Below are 24,204 nucleotides of genomic sequence, written 5' to 3' on the forward strand. Positions count from 1 at the left end.
GATGGTCTCGATCTCCTGACCTCATGATCCGCCCACCTCGGCCTCCCAAAGTGCTGGGATTATAGGCGTGAGCCACCGCGCCTGGCCCGTTATTTTATTTTTTTGAGACAGGGCCTTGCTCTGTCACCCAGGTTGGAGTGCAGTGGTGCAATCTTGGCTCACTGCAATCTCCGCCTCCTGGGTTCAAGCGATTCTCATGCCTCAGCCTCCTGAGGAGCTGGGACTACAGGTGGGTGCCACCATGCCTTGCTAATTTTTTGTATTTTTAGTAGAGACAGGGTTTCACCATGTTGGCCAGGCTGGTCTCCAACTCCTGGCCTTAAGTGATCCACCCGCTTCGGCCACCCAAAGTGCTGGGATTACAGTTAGTGTGAATCAGTTTCCAGCATTACATAATTCTAGATAAAAATTCATAAAGCTCTAGTTTCTGAATCTGAAGCTATAAAAAGAATATCAACTTTTTTTTTTTTTTTGAGATGGAGTCTCACTCTGTCACCCAGGCTGGAGTGCAATGGCATCATCTCGGCTCACTGCAACCTCTGCCTCCTGGGTTCAAGCAATTCTTCCACCTCAGCCTCCTGAGTGGCTGGGACTACAGGACCGTGCCACCACACCTGGCTAATTTTTGTATTTTTAGTAGAGAAGGGGTTTCACTATGTTGGCCAGACTGGTCTCAAAATTCTGAACTTGTGATCCGCCTGGCTCAGCCTCCCAAAGTACAGGATTACAGGCATGAGCCCCCACACCTGGCCAAGAATATCAACGCTTTTATCCCAATATGGGTATATAAGCAACAGAAGACTGCCTTTTTAGGACAAAGAAAATTGCTTTAAATGGTAATTAGCAAAAGGAACTCATCACTCTCAAGTAGATGGGCTAAAAATACAGAGTCCAAGAAGTATATAAAAGCATCACCCCTAGAGAACCATACCTATTTATGAGACAGGAAAAGAGGGAGCTATCTTGTAAAACTGGCTATTGCTATAACAAATGTTGACAGGGATGTGGAAAAGCAGAAACCTTCATACATTGCCAGTGGGAATATAAGATGGTGCAGTCACCACACCTGGCCAAGGCCATGTTTATATTTTATTTTTACTGTTGGTCCTAATGACTCATTGCACAATTCTCCCCTGCCAGAAGAGGCTCTCTTAGCAATGCTGCTTTCCAAAGAAAAGCCAAAATAACAGTTACTGTTCATAGAAGAAACCTCTGGAATAAAGGTACTTACGAGGTTTGCGAGGCTGCTTTGGATGAGGAGAAGATTTGCTATCTCTACCTGTGGATGAACGCTTCCTTCCCTGCTTTTCATTTAAATCAAAGAAAAACTGACAGGCTGATTCTTCCTGGAATGGCCAAAAGCAGAAGATTAAATGTTATTCAACTAACCTTTAGATAAGTAGCCGACCACTCACATACAAGGGAACATTCCTGCCATGCCATACCTATCTTTCTTCTCAGTCCTTTCTGCACACTCTAGGGAAGCAAAATATCTTCCCAGTTCTGATGCCTGAAGTCTCAGTCATACATCAACACTTATCCAAACTACTGCCAAATTCATCTCTTTGGAAAAACGAGTTAAAATGCAAGTTATAAAGTAATTCTTGCCTAAAGCAGAACATGAACCCACCTAAATTCTCTTTTCTTTTTTCTCTCAACAGGGACATAGTGTAGTCATACAATTTCACAGGTCAAACAAGCCTAATTCAGCCTTAAGAGATGAGAAGGCTGCTTGGAAAGAAAGAAAAGTCTGAGAAAGCAGACCGTGCATGCTAGTAAGGGAACTTGACATTCCTTGCTTTAGTGGGGAAAAAATTAATTTGAGAAAACTCTGCTATTAAGAAAATTTCTTCAGAGTGAATCTTATTTTCCTACTAGCAATCATCATAAAATCACAAATTACATTGCTATGAAGCTGCTAGAGCCTTGCCTAAAGAGCTAAGAACAGATAATCACTTTAGACAAAGACTTTACAAATAAAACTGTAACCCCAAACGTCTGAATCCAGTTTGGACAAAGAAAGACCTAATGTATCAAACTGTTAACCCCAAACTACAATAAAAAACACTAAGCTTAGCTGAAATCTACTAAGATTTTCTAAACATCATCATGATTTCCCAAGGGGAAAAAAAAGATTTAGATTCTAACGATTAAACTTGTCTTATGTACTAAACTATAACTAGGAAAAGAACACATATAAAAATGCCAACCCTCAATCAGAACATACCACAGGGGCAAGAATTTGCTTTCCTATGGATGCTTCCTGCCCAGATTTTCTGTAAGGGTTTTCAGTGACATCCGGAGGCTGTTTTACCAGTTCTGCTGCATCCATTAGCTTCATGGGAACAATACTGAACGCGTAAAGATACTTTAGAGAAAAAGAACATAATGACATTAGGGGAAATACTATTTACCCAACTGTAATCAACCTATTTTACTGTGAAGATTTCACAGAAAACATGTGAAACTCAGTAAAATTAAAAGAACAGCAACCAGCCCATCCATAGCTCAGAGAGTAAACAGTAAATCAAATGCCAATTCAGTGGCCTCTGCAGGGGCTCACCAAGGGTTGACAAAGAAATGAACAAGAAATCAAAGCCCCCACCCTCACAAACCAGGAGTTCTCACTCGGATAATGGAATAGTGACAACTGTCACTACAAGGCCCAGAGGGACTTGCTGTATAACCCTTGAAGACAAACTGCTTCTGTCTCTGAGTCCCTTATCTTTGTGTACTCTGTCCACAGAATTGTGGCACTGCCATTTATTTTTCCTAATGAAAATTACAAACGAACTTAGTGTTTCTCTCTCTGATATTATACAAATTCTGCTATATATGCTAATAAAATTTTCTTAGGAGACTAGCAGTAAAGCAATAAATATTCATATAAATATTTGGAATCTTGCACTAATGCCACAGATATCGAAAACTTTAGATAAGATATAAATAGATGTTTAAACTTACTACTGATTAGGGAAATGCAACTAAGTAACAATTATATATCATTTATCACATTGGCAAAAACTTTAATAAAACTTTGACGTGGGCTGGGGGTGGCGGCTCATGCCTGCAATCCCAGCACTTTGGGAGGCTGAGGCGGGCGAATCACCTGAGGTCAGGAGATAGAGACCAGCCCGACCAACATGGAGAAATCCCATCTCTACTAAAAATACAAAAGATTAGCCAGGCATGGTGGCACACACCTATAGTTCCAGCTACTCAGGAGGCTGAGGCAGGAGAATCGCTTGAACATGGGAGGTGGAGGTTGCAGTAAGCCGAGATCGTGCCACTACACTCCAGCCTGGGCAATAGACAGAGACTCCATCTTAAACAAACAAACAAAAACTTTGACTTGATCCAGTGAGAAATATGGAGGGGGAAAAAAAAAAACACTGCTGGGGTAGGGGTATAAATTGGAACAAAGTTTTTAGATGAATTTAACAATGCTTGCCAAATTTTATAATGTGCACACCTTTTGACGAAAGTATAAGTTGCTTATGGCTGAGGCTAACATGTCCCTGAGAATAAAACAGACTGAAAATACTAAGTGTTATTCAGTTTGAAAGGGCAATTAAAAGAAAAATTACAAATCTACATTTGCTAAGAATTGGGCAAAAAAGCTGAAAATAGGCTGGGGAATTTATGTGGAGGTCAGAGTGGAAGCAGGTATGAAAGGGTCCAGCAGAAGAAAACATGGCTGCCAAAGTGTTTTGAGTCCGTTGGCAAGTTTGGCCTGGCCTTAGCTGTTGCAGGAGACGTGGTGAACTCTGCCCTATATAATGTGGATGCTGAGCAAAGAGCTGTCATCTTTGACCGATTCCATGGAGTACAGAACACTGTGGTACGGGAAGGGACTCACTTTCTCATTCCATGGGTACACAAACCTATTATCTTTGACTGCTGTTCTTGACCATGTAATGTGCCAGTCATCACTGATAGCAAAGATTTACAGAATGTCAACATCACGGTGCACATGGGGGCCTGTCGCTAGCCAGCTTCCTCGCATCTTGACCAGCATTGAAGAGGATTATGATAAGCGTGTGCTGCTGTCCATCACTACTGAGATCCTCAAGTCAGTGGTGGCTCACTTTGATGCTGGAGAACTAATCACCTAAAGAGAGCTGGTCTCCAGGCAGATGAGCAACGACCTTACAGAGCAAGCAGCCACCTTTGGGCTCATCCTGGATGACGTGTCCTTGACACATCTGACCTTCGGGAAGGAGTTCACAGAAGCAGTGGAAGCCAAACAGGTGGCTCAGCGGGAAGCAGAGAGCACCAGATTTGTGGCAGAAAAGGCTGAGCAGCAGAAAAAGGCAGCCATCATCTCTGCTGAGGGCGATTCCAAGGCAGCAGAGCTGATCGCCAACTCACTGGCCACCGCAGGGAACAGCCTGATAGAGCTGCGCAAGCTGGAAGCTGTGGAGGACATCACATTCCAGCTCTTATACTCTGGGAACATCAGCTCCCTGCCAGCGGGGCAGTCCATGCTCCTCCAGCTGCCCCTGAGGGGCCACCCTGCCTGCACCTCCGCAGGCCAACTGGGCCACAGCCCTGATGATTCTTAACACTGTCTTCCTTCTGCCCCAACCCTAGAAATCACTATGAAATTTCATGATTGGCTTAAAGTGAAGGAAATAAAGGCAAAATCACTTCAGATCCGCCCCCTCCCCCAAAAAAAGCTTGAAATATTATGAAAAAAACAAAATATCGATTTGCTTATCTTTTGTATGCATTGTCTATGGCATGTGATAGTGGAATAATCTTCAGACTCTTTATCTGCCTATTTTCCCACTTCACTAACTGTTCTTATTTTAGCTGTCTCAATCCACAATAGGTTAGTTTTGGCCCTGGGAAATCAGAAATACTCTCAGAGAAGTGAGAAAAACAACCTATTTTTCTGGTATATTCTTTTCATCAACTGCACTGTTTTCCAATACAAAGATAGATTCCAGGTATCACTAAGATTTCCCTCAGGAAATCTTAGCCCTAAGGAGAGCTTAGGTAAGTCCTCTGGGTTTCTTTTTTTTTGTTTCCCGAGACAGAGTCTCACTTTGTCACCCAGGCTGGAGTGCAGTGGCCCGATCTCAGCTCACTGCAGTCTCCACCTCCCACATTCAAGCAATTCTCCTGCCTCAGCTTCCTGAGTAGCTGGGATTACAGGTGCCCCCCACCACACCTGGCTAATTTTTTTTATTTTTTATAGAGATGGGGTTTCACCATGTTGGCCAGGCTGGTCTCAAACTCCTGGCCTCAAGTGATCCGCCCACCTCAGCCTCTCAAAGTGCTGGGATTACAGGCGTGGGCCACCATGCCCAGCTCTTTGGGGTTTTCTTATTTCAGCTAAATGAAGTTGCTAAAGAAGTAAGCAAGCATCTGAGGGCAAATTCACAAATACCCATAGAGACAACCACATAGATGTGGAAGTAAAGGAACACTGTTCATTTGATATTTTGCCTTTATTCCTCTGGGCCTATTTTCCCAAACCCTTCTTTAAACTCTCCTACAAAAAGACCCAAAGAGACTTGACCTTTCATTACCATACCTTTACAAAGGAGTCTCCGAAACTGCTGAGACCTTGCAGTCAGGGAGAAGAGAAGATCTGAATGCTAAACTGGACAAGAGATACATTTATCAGGCAGACCATGAATATCAACCTTCCACCAAATAGGTAAATCTTTACCTTTTTCTTTTCTGGATTTCCAACATTTGCCAGAGCTATAAACCGGGTGGCATGCTGTGCATTTTCCTGTAGAATGATATGGTTTCTACAACATATTTGAGAGACAAAAAATTGCAAACAATTTTACTTTTGATTTGCAATGACAAAATATGTGGACTCTATGGGGCCATAAAAAGAGCAGAGGTCCTCAGTTCATCATCGCCAGTCAAATGATTTCAGATAAGTTACTATCTATCCGTCTAATAGGGCAACAATCCCTACCTCACAAGGCTGTTTTAGGAAGAGATGAGATTATGTCTTCAGAAACCATCAAAACTCCAACTTTTGGCTTTAAAAGAGTTGTAAAATTGGCAAAATGTTGACAATAGTTCAAGCTAAGTGATGGACACATGAGGTTTCACTTTACTATTGCCTCTTCTTTTGTGTAATAAAAAGCTAAAATAGGCCAGGCACTTTGGGAGGCTGAGACAGGAGGACTGCTTGAGCCCAGGAGTTTGAGAACACCCTGGGCAACACAGTGAGACTCTGTCTCTACAAAAAAAATTTTTTAATTAACTGGGCATGGTGGTGCATACCTACAGTCCCAGCTACTCAGGAGGCTAAGGTAGGAGAATCACTTGAGCCCACGAGGTTGAGGCTGCAGTGAGCCTTGATAGTACCTCAGCACTCCAGCCTGGAAGACAGAATGAGATCTTGTCTCAAAAAAAAAAAATTAAAAAAAAAAAAAATGTAGTCCTTTGTGTCTGGCTTCATTCACTTAACATAAAGTTTTCACGGTTCAACCATGTTGTAGCACATGTCAGTACTTCATTGCTTTTCCTTGCCAAATAACATTTCATCATATATTTACCACTTTTAATTTACCCATTCACCAGGTGATGGACATTTGGGTTGTTTGCATTTTGAGCTATTATGAATAATGCTATTATGATCATCTGTGTACAAGTTTTTGTGTGGACATATGTTTTCCCTTATCTTGGGACAGGAATAAAATTGCCGTTACCATGCTGCTGACTCTTACATTTAACCTTTCAAGAACTGCTAAACAGTTTTCCAAAGCGGCTGCACCATTTTACACTCTCACCAGCAATGTGTGAGGATTCCAATTCCTCCACATCCTTGTCAACACTTGTTATTATGTATTTGCCTTTTTGACTACTGCCATCCTAGTGGGTATGAAGTGGTGTATCATTGTGCTTTTGATTTACATTACCATAATGGCTAATGATAAGAGCATCTTTTTATATGTCTATTGGCCTTTTTTTTTTTTTTTTTTTTTTTTGAGACGGAGTCTCACTCTGTTGCCCAGGCTGGAGTGCAGTGGCGCGATCTCTGCTCACTGCAAGCTCCACCTCCCGGGTTCATGCCATTCTCCTGCCTTAGCCTTCCAAGTAGCTGGGACTACAGGCGCCCGCCACCATGCCCAGCTAATTTTTTGTATTTTTAGTAGAGACAGGGTTTCACCGTGTTGGCCAGGATGGTCTCGATCTCCTGACCTCATGATCTGCCTGCCTCGGCCTCCCAAAGTGCTGGGATTACAGGCGTGAGCCACCACACCCAGCCCTATTGGCCATTTTTATATGTTCTATGAAAAACTGTATTCCGATTCTTAAGAACTGTGTAAGTTTTGAGTGGCTTGTTCCCAAAACTTCTGTTTTCGCAGTATATTTTTAGAGAACAAGACATTCTTCTAGAATGAGTATATGGAGATTTAACAGAAAAACCTGTATTACCTATGATTCTGCATTAGGCTGTGGGATTATGGTAAGGGGGGTATTCTCTTCTTGCTCACTTAAATTTTTTTAACTAGCAACACGTAAATATTACTTTTGTAAAAAAGAAGGGAAAGAAGTTATTTTAGGGATAATCCATGCCCTTTATCAGTGAAGATAATTCTGAGCTTTTACTTAACTCTCTCACTTGTAAAACACTGGTTTTCTTGGCAGTATATTCTTTAAGAACTTGACCTCTATATCAGGAGATCGAGACCATCCTGGCTAACACGGTGAAACCCTGTCTCTACTAAAAATACAAAGAATTAGCCAGGTGTGGTGGCGGTCGCCTGTAGTCCCAGCTACTCAGGAGGCTGAGGCAGGAGAATGGCATGAACCTGGGAGACGGAGGTTGCAGTGAGCCGAGATCATGCCATTGCACTCCAGCCTGGGCGACAGAGCAAGACTCTGTCTCAAAAAAAAGAACTTGACCTCTATATACCTACTATGCTACTATGTACCCCCAAAAATTAAAAAAATAAAAACTCCACCTCTGAGTGCAAAAGAAAAAAAATAAAAAAAAATATTTTCTTGGCTGGGCATGGTGGCTCACGCCTGTAATCCCAGCACTTTGGGAGGCTGAGGTGGGCAGATCATGAGATCAAGAGTTCAAGACCAGCCTGACTGACATGGTGAAACCCCGTCTCTATTAAAAATACAAAAAAACTTAGCCGGACGTGGTGGCACGCACCTGTAATCCTAGCTACTCAGGAGGCTGAGGCAGGAGAATCACTTGAACCCAGGAGGCGGAGGTTGCAGTGAGCCGAGATCATGCCACTGCACTCCAGCCAGGTGACAGAGCGAGACTCCGTCTCAAAAAAAAAAAAAAGACAAAAAAAAATTTTTTAAATTTTCCCTCTCATTTATTTTTAATTGATAACTAAAATTTGTATTTTTTATTGTATACAACATGCTGTTTTGAAATGTGTATATACTGTGGGATGGCTAAATCAAGCTAATTAACATATACATTATCTCATATTTATTTGTGGTAAAAAATTTTTTAAAGAAATGGGGCTCCCTATGTTGCCCAGGCTAGAGTGCAGTGGCTATTCACAGGCGTAGTCATTGCACACTATAGTCTTGAACTCCTGGGCTCGAGCGAGCCTCCTGCCTCAGCCTTCCAAGTAGCTGGAACCACAGACACACACCATCATGCCTGGCCCTGAAAAGGAAAAAACTGATACAAGTTCTTGATTCTGAAACTGAAGGATTTCCAAAGTGATTTCAAATTAGGGAACAAACTCAGAGAAGATGAATGACTTGAGAGTCACTTACTTCAGTGTCTGAGTAACCAAATGGAACCAAGATGTTATATGGTTAAAAACGAACAAGAGAAGTTTATACAGAAGATCCATGGCAAATTCTTCAAAAAGCCAAGAAGAATGAAATGCTACTCACCGATATGGAAGCCTCTCATAATAGGTCTTTTCCAAAGCAGCAAAATGGTATCTTGGTTTCAAGCCCGTGGCAAGACTGGAAACCAAAGCAGAACCACATTTTTTGGTATCCACTTCTCCCTAGTAAACAAAAACTTAGTCATCCATACAGACCAAAAGTTATCAAGAAATGCAAATAAATAATAAGACATTTTGAAATGTCTTTGAAATTTATACATGAATACAGATGTGGACAGAAGGAACTGCACATTGAATTTCATAAGTATGGCAATCAGAGAAAAAATCTTAACAAATAAGGGAGCTGAACTACTATGAATGTAGAAATAGGAACAACTGTTGGAAGCCAGAGATTAAAAGGTAACTCCTCCATATCAATACCCAAAACACAAATTATTAAAACCTTTTTTGGAAAGTAAGCTCTCCCTCTGGAGCCCACAGACTGGGCTTCTAGTTTTGGTTTGTTTTTTTTTTTTGAGATGGAGTCTTGCTTTGTCACCCAGGCTGCTAGAGTACAGTGGCACAATCTCGGCTCACTGCAACCTCTGCATCCTGGGTTCAAGAAGTGATTCTCCTGCCTCAGCCTCCCTAGTAGCTGGGATTACAGGCACGTGCCACCACACCTGGCTAATTTTTGTATTTTTAGTAGAGACGGGGTTTCACCATGTTGGCCAGGCTGGTCTCAAACTCCTGATCTCGTGATCCGCCCGCCTCAGCCTCCCAAAGTGCACGCGTGAGCCACTGCGCCCAGCCTCTAGTTTGTTACGTAGTGCATCTGTAGTTCACGGGTCCAGACAGTCATAGTCAATTCAGAAAATCAAAGCGAAAAGCTAGGCTTCAGGGCTCCTAGGATCCACAGAATATCTGGTATAGAGTATTCAAGGACTTCATCACCAGCATATAATCCTTTATTTTGCTTCAGTCAAGGAAGTGGCAGTTTGAGGAAGGGCATAACCACACCCTTCTTAAGTAATATGAAGTTTGCTCAAAGTTATTCTTGCTCCCAGAACATCCCCAGATTCTGTTAACAACCAATTAAGTGATCTCTCACCCACAGCATTATTTATGAACTCTATTCTAAGAGAAGGTATTACTTGGAAATAAGCTAACAAAGTTTGTTTTCCACTACGTAAAGCAGGAATTTCCTTTTGTCTTATGCTTGTTTCCTTCAGGTTTCTGCTGAAGGGCAGGGAATTAGCTTTGAGGTCAGTCCTAGCATCTTAGGGACTGGTGAACTATACTTTTCTCCTCCATAAATATACTGTATGGTTATTTATAAGCCTTGATCAAAATCAATTTTTAGCTCCCCGCAAAACAAAGGGGCCTCATTTTCTCATCCTTCCTTACAGAGCATCATATGTGTCTTTCTCTCTTCCTTCATCACTTTAGCAGCCCTTCTCTCGATCTTCCCTAGCTTTGCTATATCCTTGTGCTCCAACCAGCTCTATGCCTTGTATTCTACGTAAAGAGTAATCATGGGTTTGTCAAAAAGGAAGAGAGCATCCTCCTTGATAATGCCTGGTATCCTGTTGGCCTTTTTGGTCATGGACACATGGTGCTGAAACTGGCAAGGGGTGGTATACAGGCTCCACTTCTGGATCATCACTGATAATCCTGAATCCAACCATGGAGATTTGTTCCCAAATGCATTCTTACATTTCCCTTCAATGAAGCTCACCCAGTGTTTTCTGCCCTCACACATAACCTTTTCAAAATCTTCCTTAGGCTTACTTCCACCAGTGTAGCGTTTCACTCCCCATGATAGTTGTCACTCCTGGTGTACCATCCTTTTCAAGATTACTCATAAAATATTAAAATCTGGCCAGGTATGGTGGCTCACGCCTGTAATCCCAGCACTTTGGGAGGCCAAGGCGGGTGGATCACTAGAGCGCAGGAGTTCAAGACCAGCCTGGGCAACCCTGTCTCTACTAAAAATACAAAAATTAGGCTGGGCACGGTGGCTCATGCCTGTAATCCCAGCATTTTGGGAGGCTGAGGTGGGCAAATTACTTGAGGTCAGGAGTTTGAGACCAGCCTGGCCAACATGGTGAAATCCCATCTCTACTAAAAATACAAAAAAATCCGCCTGTAATCCCAGCACTTTGGGAGGCCGAGGCAGGCAGATTGTCTGAGCTCAGGAGTTCATGACTAGCCTGGGCAACATGCTGAAACCCCATCTCTAATAAAATACAAAAAATTAGCCAGGCATGGCAGTGTGCGCCTATAGTCCCAGCTACTTGGGAGGCTGAGGCAGGTGAATTGCTTGAACCCAGGAGGCAGAGGTTGTGGTGAGCAGAGATGGCGCCACTGCCCTCCAGCCTGGGTGACACAGCAAAACTCCATCTCAAAAAAAAAAAAAAAAAATTAGCCAGGCGTGGTGGCGCATGCCTATAATCTTAGCTACTCAGGAGGCTGAGGCAGGAGAATCATTTGAACCCGGGAGGAGGAGGTTGCAGTGAGCCAAGATCGCACCACTGCACTCCAACCTGGGCGACAGAGTGAGACTCCATCTCAAAAAAAAACAAAAAACAAAAAACAAAAAAATCAGTGAAGCCTCAAAACATTAAGAGGCTTAGGAAAGGGCACTTGAAGCAGAGAATATAAAAAACCATTCCTTTATAATTAAGATTTCAGCAGTCTCATCTATGAATCACACTTTCATGAAATTAACTTTTGCTTTGATCAGTTGACAGAACTTTTAGAATCCTGAAAATTTTCACAGAAGACTTCTAATAAAAGGTACCCAAGAGCTAAAATACTCAATATAAACAGGAAAAGAAAAAAGTCCCAACTCAAGCCAGTGCAATTTGCTTTTAGAAATTCCAACTAAACAAACACTACTCACAGAAGAATTCCCAAAGTTCCCCACACACTTGGGCCATGGGGATGTGAGCAAGATATCAACACCCTTAAACTGGGAGGTTGTACACAGCATCATTCTCAGAGAAGACACATCCTTGGGACTAAAACTATAACCTGGTACTGGCTCATTTAAGGATTCTGTCCCACTGAGGTACACAATCTGCAGCCCCGAGCTTCCAGTGAAGATACCTTTACGACCTGGGTTCAAAGAAAAATGAACAAATTTTAGTCAGAATTGCAGAATGAAAAGCCATCAATAGGGGGATGAATCTCCCATGACTCTCCTATGTCCCTGCCATTTTACATGTCTGAAGTGTAAACTCTCCAGCAGCTCCCTTCTGGCTGCTAGGCATCAATGGTGAATGGCTACAACAGTATTCCTGCTCAGTAAATATGAACAGCCCTACGTGGAGGCTGCTGGAGCCCACGGGCCAGTATGTTTATGCCAGGTGCCTTACAAATATTACTGGAAAAAGTTGGGAAGAGAAGATTAGGGAAAAGGCTTTCTGCGTTCTAGAGAAGATTCTACATGGACTTAAATGCAGACATCTGGACACAGGAAAAGGCAATGCGAAGAAAAATACAGTTCTAAGGAAGCTACAGTCTAGAAAAGATGCACATAGTGAAACCCCATCCCTACTAAAATACAAAAAATTAGCCAGGCATGGCAGCGTGTGCCTGTAGTCCCAGCTACTTGGAGGCAGGCAGCAACTTCCAAGTGAAGGAAAACATTTGGAAAGAACAAGTGTTTAGGAAAAATTTAAGACGCCACTCTCTTCTATGGTTATTCCTGGCTTGTGGCCTTGTTTCCATTCCCTCCTGTTGCCTTCAAGACCTTGCTCCATCAATTTTCACTTCCCTTTCATCTACTGAGTCTACTCAGCTGGCGCTTTTTGTTCAGAAAAAAATATGCTCAATCATCGCCATCCAAAATGAACACACATACTAAGAAACTTCCTCCTCTTCAGTTTTGAATTTCTGAAGAGTCATCCATGCTAAGTGCTTTACCTTTTTTTTTTTTTTTTTTTTTTTTTGAGATGGAGTCTCGCTCTGTTGCCAGGCTGGAGTGCAGTGGCGCAATCTTGGCTCATTGCAACCTCCACCTCCGCCTCCCGGGTTCAAGTGATTCTCCTGCCTCAGCCTCCCAAGTAGCTGGGACTACAGGTGACCGCCACCATGCCCAGTTAATTTTTCTATTTTTAGTAGAGATGGGGTTTCATCATGTTGGCCAGGATGGTCTCAACCTCTTGACCTCGTGAACTGCCCACCTCGACCTCCCAAGGTGCTAGGATTACAGGTGTGAGCCACCACGCCCAGCCTACTTTATTAGTTCCTTAACCCCCTGCAATCAGTTTCCCTCTCCCATCACTCTCTTAAAGGTCACCCTATATTTGCCAATGTTCTCCTGAAACTATGTTATCTTCAGTAGATTCCATGAAGTTGACAATATCTTTACCTCTCAAACAGTCCTCTAAGCACTTTTATGTCTTTGTTCCTACCCCCTAGATGAAGATATACCATCCCCACCCACCAAGGTACTATCATCAACCTGCTTCCCTTCTGATTGTATTTCTTCCTTAATAATTTGATCCTCTTCTCAGCTCTATTTTTCATCATTATGGGACCAACTCTCCAAAGCCTATACTCTTCAACACTGATACTCTAGAAAGAACTCTCGGACCAGCACAGTGGCTAATGCCTGTAATCCCAGAACTTTGGGAGGCTGAGGCAGCTGGATCACCTCAGGTCAGGATTTCGAGACCAGCCTGACCAACATGGTGAAACCCTGTCTCTACTAAAAAATACAAAATTAGCCGGGCATGGTGGCACACACCCGTAACCCCAGCTACTCAGGAGGCTGAGGCAGAAGAATCGCTTGAATCCGGGAGGCAGAGGTTGCAGTGAGCCAAGACTATGCCATTGCAATTCAGTCTGGGCAACAAGAGCGAAAGTCCATCTCAAAAAATAATAATAATAACTCTCACTTCCAACTATATGTTGGATGTCCTACCAGTATTTCAAGCTCACTATCACATGTTCACTACCAAGTTCACTGCTTGATCCTCCTACTGGATCCAAAAAATCTATTTCACAGAAATAACCCAAGTACCTTAGCTGCTCTTTCCTTTCCTGGCACTAAATTCATATAGTAAAATGGCTGCCAAATATCTACAGTAATGCCCTTAATCCAAATCTACAAACTATACCAAGAACTGCATAAGTCAGGCTCATGTTAAAATCTACAACAGAATTTCAAAATGCGTATCTGATATGTGTAGTTAAAACTAAACAGTGCTCACTTCAGCAGCACATATACTAAAACTGGAAAGATAAAGAGAATATTAGCACGGCACCTGCACAAGGATGACATGCAAATTCATGAAGAGTTCCATATTAAAACAACAAAACAAATAAAGTCCTTCCTTCAATTTTTGCTTAAAGAAGTCCCACAGGATTAGTGCAAAATAAGACTGGTAACGGGAGGGCCATAGCCAAATAAAGACTAAAGGCCAAGATGAACTATGATGGGGAAGGAGAGAGAGGACATTTACAGCAAAGGAAATGAAGAAGTTTTCTAGAGAAATAAGACCAACAAGGAGGAAATGTGAAGAATAGTAAATTCAACTAAAAAAAAAAAAAAAAGCCGAGCACAGTGGCTCACACCTGTAATCCCAGCACTTTGGGAGGCTGAGGCAGGCGGGTCACCAGGTCAGGAGATCGAGACCATCCTGGCCAACATGGTGAAATCCCGTCTCTACTAAAAATACAAAAATTAGCTGGGTATGGTAGTGCGTGCCTGTAATCCCAGCTACTCGGAAGGCTGAGGCAGGAGAATCACTTGAACCAGGGAGTCGGATGTTGCAGTAAGCCGAGATCATGCCACTGCACTCCAGCCTGAGCAACAGAGCAAGACACTGTCTTAAAAAAAAAAAAAAAAAAGAGTTGAATGATCTAAGAGGCAGCAGACTGCCAGCAGGTGGGGGGAAAACAAAAGCAAAATTTGACAGTGCTTTTGAAAACAGCCAGACATTGAAAGAGCCACTAAAAGCAATACAGAGGGCTGTGGAGGAAACAACTTTAAGCTGGAACTGAAGAGTGTACCTAGAACCAGAAAAAGGAGAGTAAAAAAAGAGTAAAAAGCCCCCAAAGAACAGCACTAAAAACCTGAGTTGCCAAAACCTTAGAGTGAAACCTAGAGCTATAAATAGTTGGGAGGCTCATTAACAAGTAAGCTGTATATACCTAGCAAGATTGTATGGTAAAGCCACATACATGAAATTTCCTTTGTGTGAACATAATTTATACCTTAAGTATCCCATATACTATAGACAAGGAGTTTATCCCTCCAGTTGGCTAAACAAGTGTGTACCGGGTTGTGGGAACGCAACGATATTGGGGCTAAGTGGTAGAAATAATAAAGAAAAAATGCCACTGTCCTAAAGGCATTGTCCTAAGGGCACAGCAGCACATATACAGACTCTGGGAAAAAACCCTCCAAACCCCATTATCTCAGGCTGCAATCACTGAAAAATCTAGCCAAAAATTTCCTGGGAGACTAATTCCTGAGAACACTATATTATGTTCATTACAAATACAACAAATATCGGCCAGGCGCGGTGGCTCACGCCTGTAATCCCAGCACTCTGGGAGGCCGAGGTGGGCGGATCACGAGGTAAGGAGATCGAGATGATCCTGACTAACACGGTGAAACCCTGTCTCTACTAAAAATATAAAAAAAATTAGCCGGGTATGGTCACACACGCCTGTAATCCAAGCTACTCAGGAGGCTGAGGCAGGAGAATCACTTGAACCCGGGAGGTGGAGGTTACAGTGAGCCAAGATTGCGCCACTGCACTCCAGCCTGGGTGACAGAGCAAGACTCCGTCTCAAAAACAAAAAACAAAAAACAAAAAAAAAATACAACAAGTATCAGCTTACCCAGATAAGTAATGTTTTCAGCTAATTCACATCCATCAGCATCCTGGAAATATTTTACTGTTTCCTGGTTATTAGCACCAAGCACATATGTCTGAATAGGAGCTAGTGAGGGAAACAGACATGACACCATATAGTTACCAGATCTGCTTTAGAACTTAAGATATGCCTCTCTATAGAAAAAATACTTATATTAAAAGTAAATAGTCCATGCATTCACATTCCCCATATTTAGCAATCCTAAATGTGGAACAGCTATCCACTAAGGATATACTACACCCAACCTTGTAGCTTGGCTATTTTATTTATTTTATTTTTTTTTTTTTGAGACAGAGCCTTGCTCTGTCGCCCAGGGTGAAGTGCAGTGGTGCAATCTCGGCTCACTGCAATCTCCGCCTCCCAGGTTCAAGCAATTCTCCTGCCTCAGTCTCCCGAGGAGCTGGGATTACAGGCATGCGCCACCATGCCCTGCTAATTTTTATATTTTTAGTAGACACACGGTTTCACCATGTTGGCCAGGCTGGTCTTGAACCCCTGACCTCAGGTGATCCACATGCCTCGGCCTCCCAAAGTGCGGGGATTACAGGTGTGAGCCACTGCGCCGGATAGTCTTAATAATGAAAAGCAACTTAAATTCTTAAATACTGAAAATAACTCTTAAATTCTTAAATAATGAAAAACAACTCTGCAAGAACTCTGGCCCTTGAAATTTTATTAGAAATCATATGTTAAATAAAAATAATTTCTATACCTTTCTTGATGCCAGTCTTATACTCCTCCCATTCAGCATCTTGGGTGGAGCCAAAGAAATTTCCTACACACAACAGCAGCTAAAATGAGTTTTTTAAACAGATATATGAGATTTTAAAATATCAAACAGTACATAATTGATAGTAATATTCAACTAGTTATTTAATAGTTTCAAATCAGTTTTTAATTCTTAATCAATTTGCAGATTTCAATATACAATTCTTTAGCAGCAACTGTTAACAGTTACTGATTCTATGAATTATTAAGTTTTGGCTCTTTGGCTGTCAAATTCAAGTTAGAGATGGGTAAGAGAGAGTCAAGGAACTAAACTTTTAAAGTAAGTTAGAATTCAAGTGCTCCTCAAATTCCCAGTCCCACTCTGCCATTCATGGCTCTCTCCACATATCCTTCCCTGGAATATACAGTCACATAGAAATAGATCTTTAAAGAATCCCCGTGTGAAACAAAAAAACTTAAAATATTAGAATCTGAGAAATACAAGGTATAAAAAACACATTTCCTGCCTGTTGTCTTTACCCAACCTTTAACCCAATGAACAAATTATCCTCATACCTGGAATACTCTCTTCTGTACTCTTAGGAGTTTACAGTCTAGTTGGCAACCATACACAACATTCATATAGAGCTTTTAAGCTTGTGATGGGTTGGTATGTATGTTACCTGACTTAATCCTCATCACATTCATGAAATAGATCTGTGCTTCCCAAACCCAGAGGTCAGAATCACTTAGGGAAGTGTTGCTAGTCTGTTTTCAGTTTTTTGTACAGTGATAAAGTAACAATATTCAAATTCAAAAAATATAAAGATCAATAGTAAACAGTAAATAGGTCTCCCTCCCCCAGCCACTCAGCAGCTACTAAGTTCCTATGCTCATGAAGGGAACTCAATTTAACAAAAATGGTATGTGTTCAATCAAGACTTAAAGGAGTGCAAACTTTATTTTTATGTGTGACTACAAAGGTAAAATTAAATTCAGTAAAAACAAACATCTTACATCAAAGTTTCCACTTTTCTTCTGAATTGCTTGAACTCTATTGAATAAAATATCAAACTTTCCTTCAACATCTCCACAAGCCAAGCTGCAAACAAAGAGATAAACATTATAGCAATTCAGGAAACAAATGGGCCTGCCGGGTTTGGTATATACTGGTCTTTTGGATTAGATAGATACATGATCTAGTCTCTCTGCAGTTACCTTGCAAGGTTCAGTGCACGTAAACCACTGGGCAGATCCACTGAGGGTCTCACCAACACCTCCCACTCGCCGTATCTAAAATTTAGCTTATCATTTACTCCACAATTGAGCCAGCTTCTTCTCCTCATTCCTAAGTTTTGTGGACATGTCTATGGCTGACATGGTCAACAAAAGTCAAAAATCCCCCATCCAGTCACCAAGTCCCATCAATCCCTTTTTCCAAACATCTTTCACATTCATTCTATCCTTCTTATTTTGACTCCTCCTATCTTAGTACGACTCCTCCTATCTTAGTACAGGGCTTCAGTCATTCATTTGATAAACAGGTACTGGACACCTACCATACGCTAAGTACAATATGCCAAGTATACTATGCTAAAAACATGTTAGCAGTACAAGGTGGAGGAAGACTCAGTTTAAGCCTCAAAGAGTTTATAATCAGGGAAAGGAAGACACTCTAATCATTATAAATTTATAAGAAAAGGGCTACAACAGAGGTATGTGTGAAGTGTTATGGGGCAGGAAGTAGAAAATGGCAAGAGCTGACATTGGTAAGGTAAACTGGCCCTACGTTGTGAAGTGACTTTTACTATCATCTCATTTCTGAGATTTTCTAATTCTGATTTATGTGGTTTTTCCACGGCTTATATCATTTCCTTAATGTCTTTTAACTCATCTTGAAATATTAAAATTTTATTGTTTTGTGAGTGTCTCTTTCTGGCGTGCTTTTATTGTACACCTCGCCAAACTTTTTTTTTTTCTTTTTCTGAGACAGGGTCTCACTCTGTCACCCAGGCTAAAGTGCAGTGGCACGACCTTGGCTCACTGCAACCTCCACTCCACTCCACCCCACCTCACCCCCTTCCTATGGCAGAGGAAGAATCAGACAAAAATACAATGCATCTAGTGTTAGATTCAAAGTAGAGAATACATTTATGTTTCCTCTAATGCCTTCTCTTCCTCCTGTCCATCCTACAGAAAGTAGTCAGTTTAATGTTCTTTCCTCAAAACATTAAGAGGTTCCCCACTGCCTATAGAACCACAGCTTTCCACAGGCCCTGACCTGTCACCTTTCTAGTACTTTCTCCAAGTTTTCTTAACTGAACTGGCAATTTGATTACTCTCTGCCTCTGTCATTCCCTAGGGTAGTTCCACCCTACCCATCCTAAATCCAAGTTTTTCCCATCCTTCAAGGTTTAGCACATTTCTGAAGCCTTCCTGGCTGGCTCAGAAGTCATTACCTTCTCAAAAACTCAGAAAACCACATTACAGCATTTCAGAGAAAGCTTTGTCATAAACTAATATGACTTTTATTTATATTTTGAGCACCACCTCCTCTAGGAAGCCTTCTAGTACCTATCAGTTACCAATTTCTAGTGTTCCCATAGGAGCCTGCATTTCTTCCATCACAGCAGTTGTCACACGGAATTACCATTGTCTCTGGGAGATCCACTGTCCAGTTTATACATCACCAGGTGCCTCATCTCCTCATCTGGGCCCTTTTCCACTGTTCTCTATCCCACTGAATAAAGATAGAAATCTATGACCCAACAAGGCCAGCTCCTTTTCACTCACAATTAAACCATCACAAGCCTTGTTGATTTTACTTCCTTAATAAACCCTGAATCCCTAAACTATTCCTCTGTCATCACTCTACCTAATCCCAGCTGTTCTCTACTTTGGCTCTGATTTGTTCTCCACATTGCAGACAGAACTGCTTTCCAAAATGAAAATTTGATCATGCCAAAGCGTTCTTAAGCATTTCAATAACCTTTTTAGGTTAAAGACAAGAATACAGTTACGTGCCACATAACAATGTTTCGGTCAACAAGGGACCACATATGTAATGGTGGTCCCATAAGATTATAATGGAACTAAAAAATTCCTATCGCCTAGTGATGTCTAGCCATTTGTAACATCATAGTGCAATATATTACTCATTTGTTTGTGGTAATGCTGGTATAAACCTACTGGGCTGGTGGTTATAAAAAGTGTAGCACATACAGTTATGTACAGTATACAATATTTGATAATGATAATAAACAACTATGTTACTGGTTTATGTATAATATTTAGCATGCTATGGCCAGGTGCGGTGGCTTACGCCTGTAATCCCAGCACTTTGGGAGGCCAAGGCGAGCGGATCACAAGGTCAGGAGCTCGAGACCATCCTGGTTAACACAGTGAAACCTCATCTCTACTAAAAATACAAAAAATTAGCCGGGCGTGGTGGCGGGCGCCTGTAGTCCCAGCTACTCAGGAGGCTGAGGCGGGAGAATAGCATGAACCCACGAGGCAGAGCTTGCAGTGAGCTGAGATCGCGGCACTGCACTCCAGCCTGGGCAACAGAGCAAGACTCCATCTCAAAAAAAAAAAAATATATTCAGTATGGTATGCTCTTTACTGTTTAGAGTACACTCCTACGTATTCAAAAAAAAAAAAAAAAAGTTGACTGTAAAAAAGCCTCAGGCAGGTCCTTCAGGAAGTATTCCAGAGGGCACTGTTATCATAGGAGATGACAGCTTCATGCATGTTATTACTACTGAAGCCCTTCCAGTGGGACAAGATATGGAGGTGAACAGCAGTGATACTGATGATCCTGACCCTGTGTAGGCCTAGACTCGTGTGTGTGTCTTAGTTTGCAACAAAACAAGTTTAAAGCCAGGCACAGTGGCTCACGTCTGTAATCCCAGCACTTTGGGAGGCTGAGGCAGGAGGGTAACTTGAGCCCAGGAGTTCAAGACCAGCCTGGGTAACATAGCAAAACCCCCTCTCTACAAAAAATACAGAAATTAGCCAGGTGTGGTAGCTTCCGCCTGTAGTCCCAGCTACTCAGGAGGCTGAAGTGGGAGAATCACTTGAGCCCAGGAGGTTGAGGTTGCAGTGAGCCGTGATTGCACAATTGCACTCCAGCCTGGGCGACAGTGAGACCCTGTCTCCAAAAAAAAAAAAAGTTTAAAAGGTAAAAAGAAAAAAAAAGTAATAGAAAAAAGCTTGTAGAATAAGGATATAAAGAAAATATTTTTGTACAGCTGTACAATGTGTTTTATGTCTTAGCTGTGTTATAACAAGAGTCAAAAAGTGTAAAAAAACTTAAAGTTTATAAAGTAAAAGTTACAGTAAACTAAGGTTTACTGTTGAAAATAATATTTTAATAAATTTAATATAGGTGAAGTGTACAGTATTCATAAAGTCTACAATACTGTAAAGTAATACATTCACTCACCTCTTACTAACTCACTCAGAGAAACTTTCAGTTCTGCAAACTCCATTCATGATAAGTGTCCTACACAGGTTGTGCCCTTTTTTTTTTTCCTGTATACAGTATTTTCTTTTTTTCTTTTTCTTTTTTTTTTTTTTTGAGACAGTCTCGCTCTGTCGCCCAGGCTGGAGTGCAGTGGTGCGATCTCGGCTCACTGCAACCTCTGCCTCCCAGGCTCAAGCCATTCTCCTGCCTCAACCTCTTGAGTAGCTGGGATTACAGGCGCCCGCTACCACACCCGGCTAATTTTTGTATGTTTAGTAGACACAGGGTTTCACCATGTTGGCCAGGCTGGTCTTGAACTTCTGACCTCAGGTGATCCACCCACCTCGGCCTCCCAAAGTGTTGGGATTACAGGCATAAGCCACCACACCCGGCCAGGTGTTTTCACTGTACCCTTTCTATATTTAAATACAAAAATGCTTACCATTGTGTTACAATTGCCTACAGTATTCAGTACAGTAACTTGACGTACAGCTATACCATTTAGCCTAGGTGTACAGGAAGCCATACCATCTAGGTCTCTGGAAGTACACTCAAAGATGTTCGCACAATGACGAAATCGCCTACCAACTCATTTCTCAGAACATAACCCTGCTGTTAAGCAATGGATTACTCTTATTTCCCAAGGCTCAATCCTAACATTCTCGGGAAGCCTTCTTGACTCCTATCATTAAGCCAAATACCCCTCTTATGCACTCTCCCAGATTCACGAATATTTTCTTCCCAAAAGTTACCACTATTGCAATTTTTTTTTTTTTTTTTTTGAGACAGGGTTTCAATCTGTCACCCAGCCTGGAGATCAGCAGCACGATCACAGCTCACTGCAGCATCGACCTCCCCAGGCTCAGGTGGTCCACCTGCTTCAGCCTCCCAATTAGCTGGGACCACCACGCCCGGCTAATTTTTTTTTTTTTCTGTATTTTTTGTAGAAACGGGGCCTTGCTATATTGCCCAGGCTGGTCTTGAATTCCTGGACTCAAGTGATTCTCTTGCCTTGGCCTCCGGAGTCGCTGGGATTATAGGCGTGAGCCACTGCGCCTGGCCCTATCACTATGGTAACTTTACATTTATCTGAATTCCTTTTTTTTTAGACGGAGTCTCACTCTGTTACCTAGGCTGGAGTGCAGAGGTGCAGTGTCGGCTCACTGTGCAACCTCCGCCTCCGGGTTCAAGCGATTCTCCTGCCTCAGCCTCCCAAGTAGCTGGGATTACAGGCACGCGCCACCACGCCTGGCTAATTTTTTTTTTTTGTATTAGTAGAGACGGGGTGTCACCACGTTGGCCAGGCTGGTCTCGAACTCCTGACCGCAAGTGATCCGCCCGCCTCAGCCTCCCAAAGTGCTAGGATTACAGGCGTGAGCCACCGCGCCCGGCCATTATTTGTATTGTTTTTTGTTTGTTTTGTTTTGTTTTGTTTTGTTTTGAGAGTCTCGTTCTGTCGCCCAGGCTGGAGTGCAGTGGCGCGATCTCGGCTCACAGCAACCTCCGCCTCCCGGGTTCAAGCGATTCTCCTGCCTCAGCCACCGCGCCCGGCCCATTATCTGGATTCTTTAGTACCTGTTCCTCTAGACTCTACGCTCCATTAAAGCAGGAACTCCATCTGTTGCAACACCTAGCACAGCGTCCGGCACACTGCAGTTCTTCAATAAATACTTGCTGCATGAAGCCCTCTCTTCACCACCACCCCCACCCCTCCTCCTCGCAAAAAAAAAAAAAAAAAAAAAATGCCCCAGGGAAGGGTCCCTATCTACTCTGTCCACCACTGCCCAGGGCCCATCAGTGGGCCCAATGGCTATTTGGCGAGTAAATAAATGGGGTCAGGAGAAACGAAGGGGAAAGGATGTGTCAGAGGCCAGGACTGCCCCCTAAGATGGAGGAGGCCTAACTCTGGGAGCTTCCGCCTCTCCGAACGAGCGTCGCCAAGAGAAACCCCCTCAGAAGCGAAAAGGGCCAGGAAAAGAGGTCAGCCCCGGCCAGGCAAAGACATCACCTAAGCTCCCCAGCAGCCCCGTGTCTCTCCGCCTTTTCCTTCTCCCTTCCCGTCATGGGAAAGACTCCCGCCCGTGTCGTCACCTACACACACGAAAGAGACACAGGGAGAGAGGCTTCCATTCACGGTCACTCACAGGCGCAGCGGTTTCTGTGCCATCTGTCCGAATAGTATGGGTTGCGACTGCCACCTAAAATTGGGAATGCGAATCCGCGCTCCCCGGAAAAATGCGACCGCGCAACAATCAGACGTCAGCGCCCTCCAGCCAATAACGGTTCACTTACTTACGGAGACCGCCGAGGGACAGAAGCCTCTCTCAGGTGTTTGCGCCTCAAGGAAGAATCAAGAGGGAAAGGGAGGAACGAAGGGAGAAAGAGAAAGTGACCGAAAGGATTCCAACTATGATTTTTTAAATTAAATTTCAGAGCACTTGAAGCGAATGAATGGCTAGGAAGTACAGAGCACAATGTCGGGTTCTAACCTAACCTAACCTAACCTAACCTAACCTAACCATATCGGTCTAGTGGGCAAGACAGACCCCCTCTATCCACGTTTTTTGTAAGTTTTTAACCTATCAAAAAGTTAAGAGGCCGGGCGTGGACGCTCACGCCTATAATCCCAGCACTTTGGAAGGCTGAGGCGGGCGGATCACTTGAGGTCGGGCGTTCAAGACCAGCCTGGGCAACATGGTGAAACCCCGTCTCTTCTAAAAATACAAAAATTAGCCGGGCATGGTGGAGAATTGCTTCAACCAGGGAGGCGGGGGTTGCAGTGAGTCAAGATCGCGCCATTGCACTCCAGCCTGGACAACAAGAGCGAAACTCCGTCTCAAATTAAAAAAAAAAAAGTTAAAAGAATAATGGCTATTACCTTGATTCAGTAAGTCTCAGCATGTTGGCAAATTTGCTTGTGTTCTCTTTCTCTCAAAGTGCCCAAGCCCTTCCATTCTCACTCAATCATTTGAAAGTAAAGTACAGGCCGGGCGCAGTGGCTCACGCCTGTAATCCCAGCACTTTGGGAGATCCAGACCATCCTGGCTAACACGGTGAAACCCCCTCTCTACTAAAAATACAAAAAATTAGCCGGGCGTGGTGGCACGCACCTGCAGTCCCAGTTACTCGGGAGGCTGAGGCAGGGGAATCGCTTGAACCCAGGAGGAGGAAGTTGCAGTGAGCCGAGATCGCGCCACTTCACTCCAGCCTGGGCGACAGAGCGAGACTCCGTGTCAAAAAATAAAATAAAATAAAGTGCGGACAACAGGAATACATCTCCATTTATCTCCTAAGATTAGGATATCCTCCTACATAACCGTAATACTATTAACACAGCTAAGAAAA

At 42.9% G+C, this 24,204-nt stretch overlaps 1 protein-coding gene and 2 pseudogenes across 5 annotated transcripts in view, besides 1 other annotated feature; 2 read left to right on the forward strand and 1 right to left on the reverse strand.

Annotated features, from left to right (window-relative positions):
- CWF19L1 (CWF19 like cell cycle control factor 1) overlaps window positions 1–23,071 on the reverse strand; it is a 35,341-nt gene extending 12,270 nt beyond the window's left edge. For 2 of the 5 annotated variants that reach the window (NM_001303404.2, NM_018294.6), the window contains exons 1-9: window positions 23,004–23,071; window positions 17,412–17,496; window positions 16,399–16,477; window positions 15,651–15,752; window positions 11,695–11,909; window positions 8,854–8,972; window positions 5,681–5,765; window positions 2,228–2,368; window positions 1,232–1,346 (exon numbers count right to left, since the gene is read on the reverse strand). In NM_001303404.2, coding sequence (NP_001290333.1) covers window positions 1,232–1,346; window positions 2,228–2,368; window positions 5,681–5,765; window positions 8,854–8,972; window positions 11,695–11,909; window positions 15,651–15,752; window positions 16,399–16,477; window positions 17,412–17,496; window positions 23,004–23,026 — 964 coding nt within the window. In that variant the 5' untranslated portion in view covers window positions 23,027–23,071. Of the gene's footprint in view, window positions 1–1,231; window positions 1,347–2,227; window positions 2,369–5,680; window positions 5,766–8,853; window positions 8,973–11,694; window positions 11,910–15,650; window positions 15,753–16,398; window positions 16,478–17,411; window positions 17,497–22,958 lie in introns of all 5 variants that reach the window. The other 3 variants (NM_001303405.2, NM_001303407.2, NM_001303406.2) reach the window with 3 other exon arrangements.
- Window positions 3,630–4,658, forward strand: PHB1P9 (PHB1 pseudogene 9; annotated as a pseudogene).
- Window positions 14,004–14,110, forward strand: RNU6-422P (RNA, U6 small nuclear 422, pseudogene; annotated as a pseudogene).
- Window positions 20,802–21,051: an enhancer, noted in NCBI's record as "active region_3885". NCBI's record gives its function as "activates an Ori minimal core promoter by ATAC-STARR-seq in GM12878 lymphoblastoid cells {active_cell/tissue: GM12878}" and the evidence as "EXISTENCE:reporter gene assay evidence [ECO:0000049][PMID:35858748]".

Source organism: Homo sapiens, chromosome 10, assembly GCF_000001405.40.
Source record: "Homo sapiens chromosome 10, GRCh38.p14 Primary Assembly".
Taxonomy (NCBI): domain Eukaryota; kingdom Metazoa; phylum Chordata; class Mammalia; order Primates; family Hominidae; genus Homo; species Homo sapiens.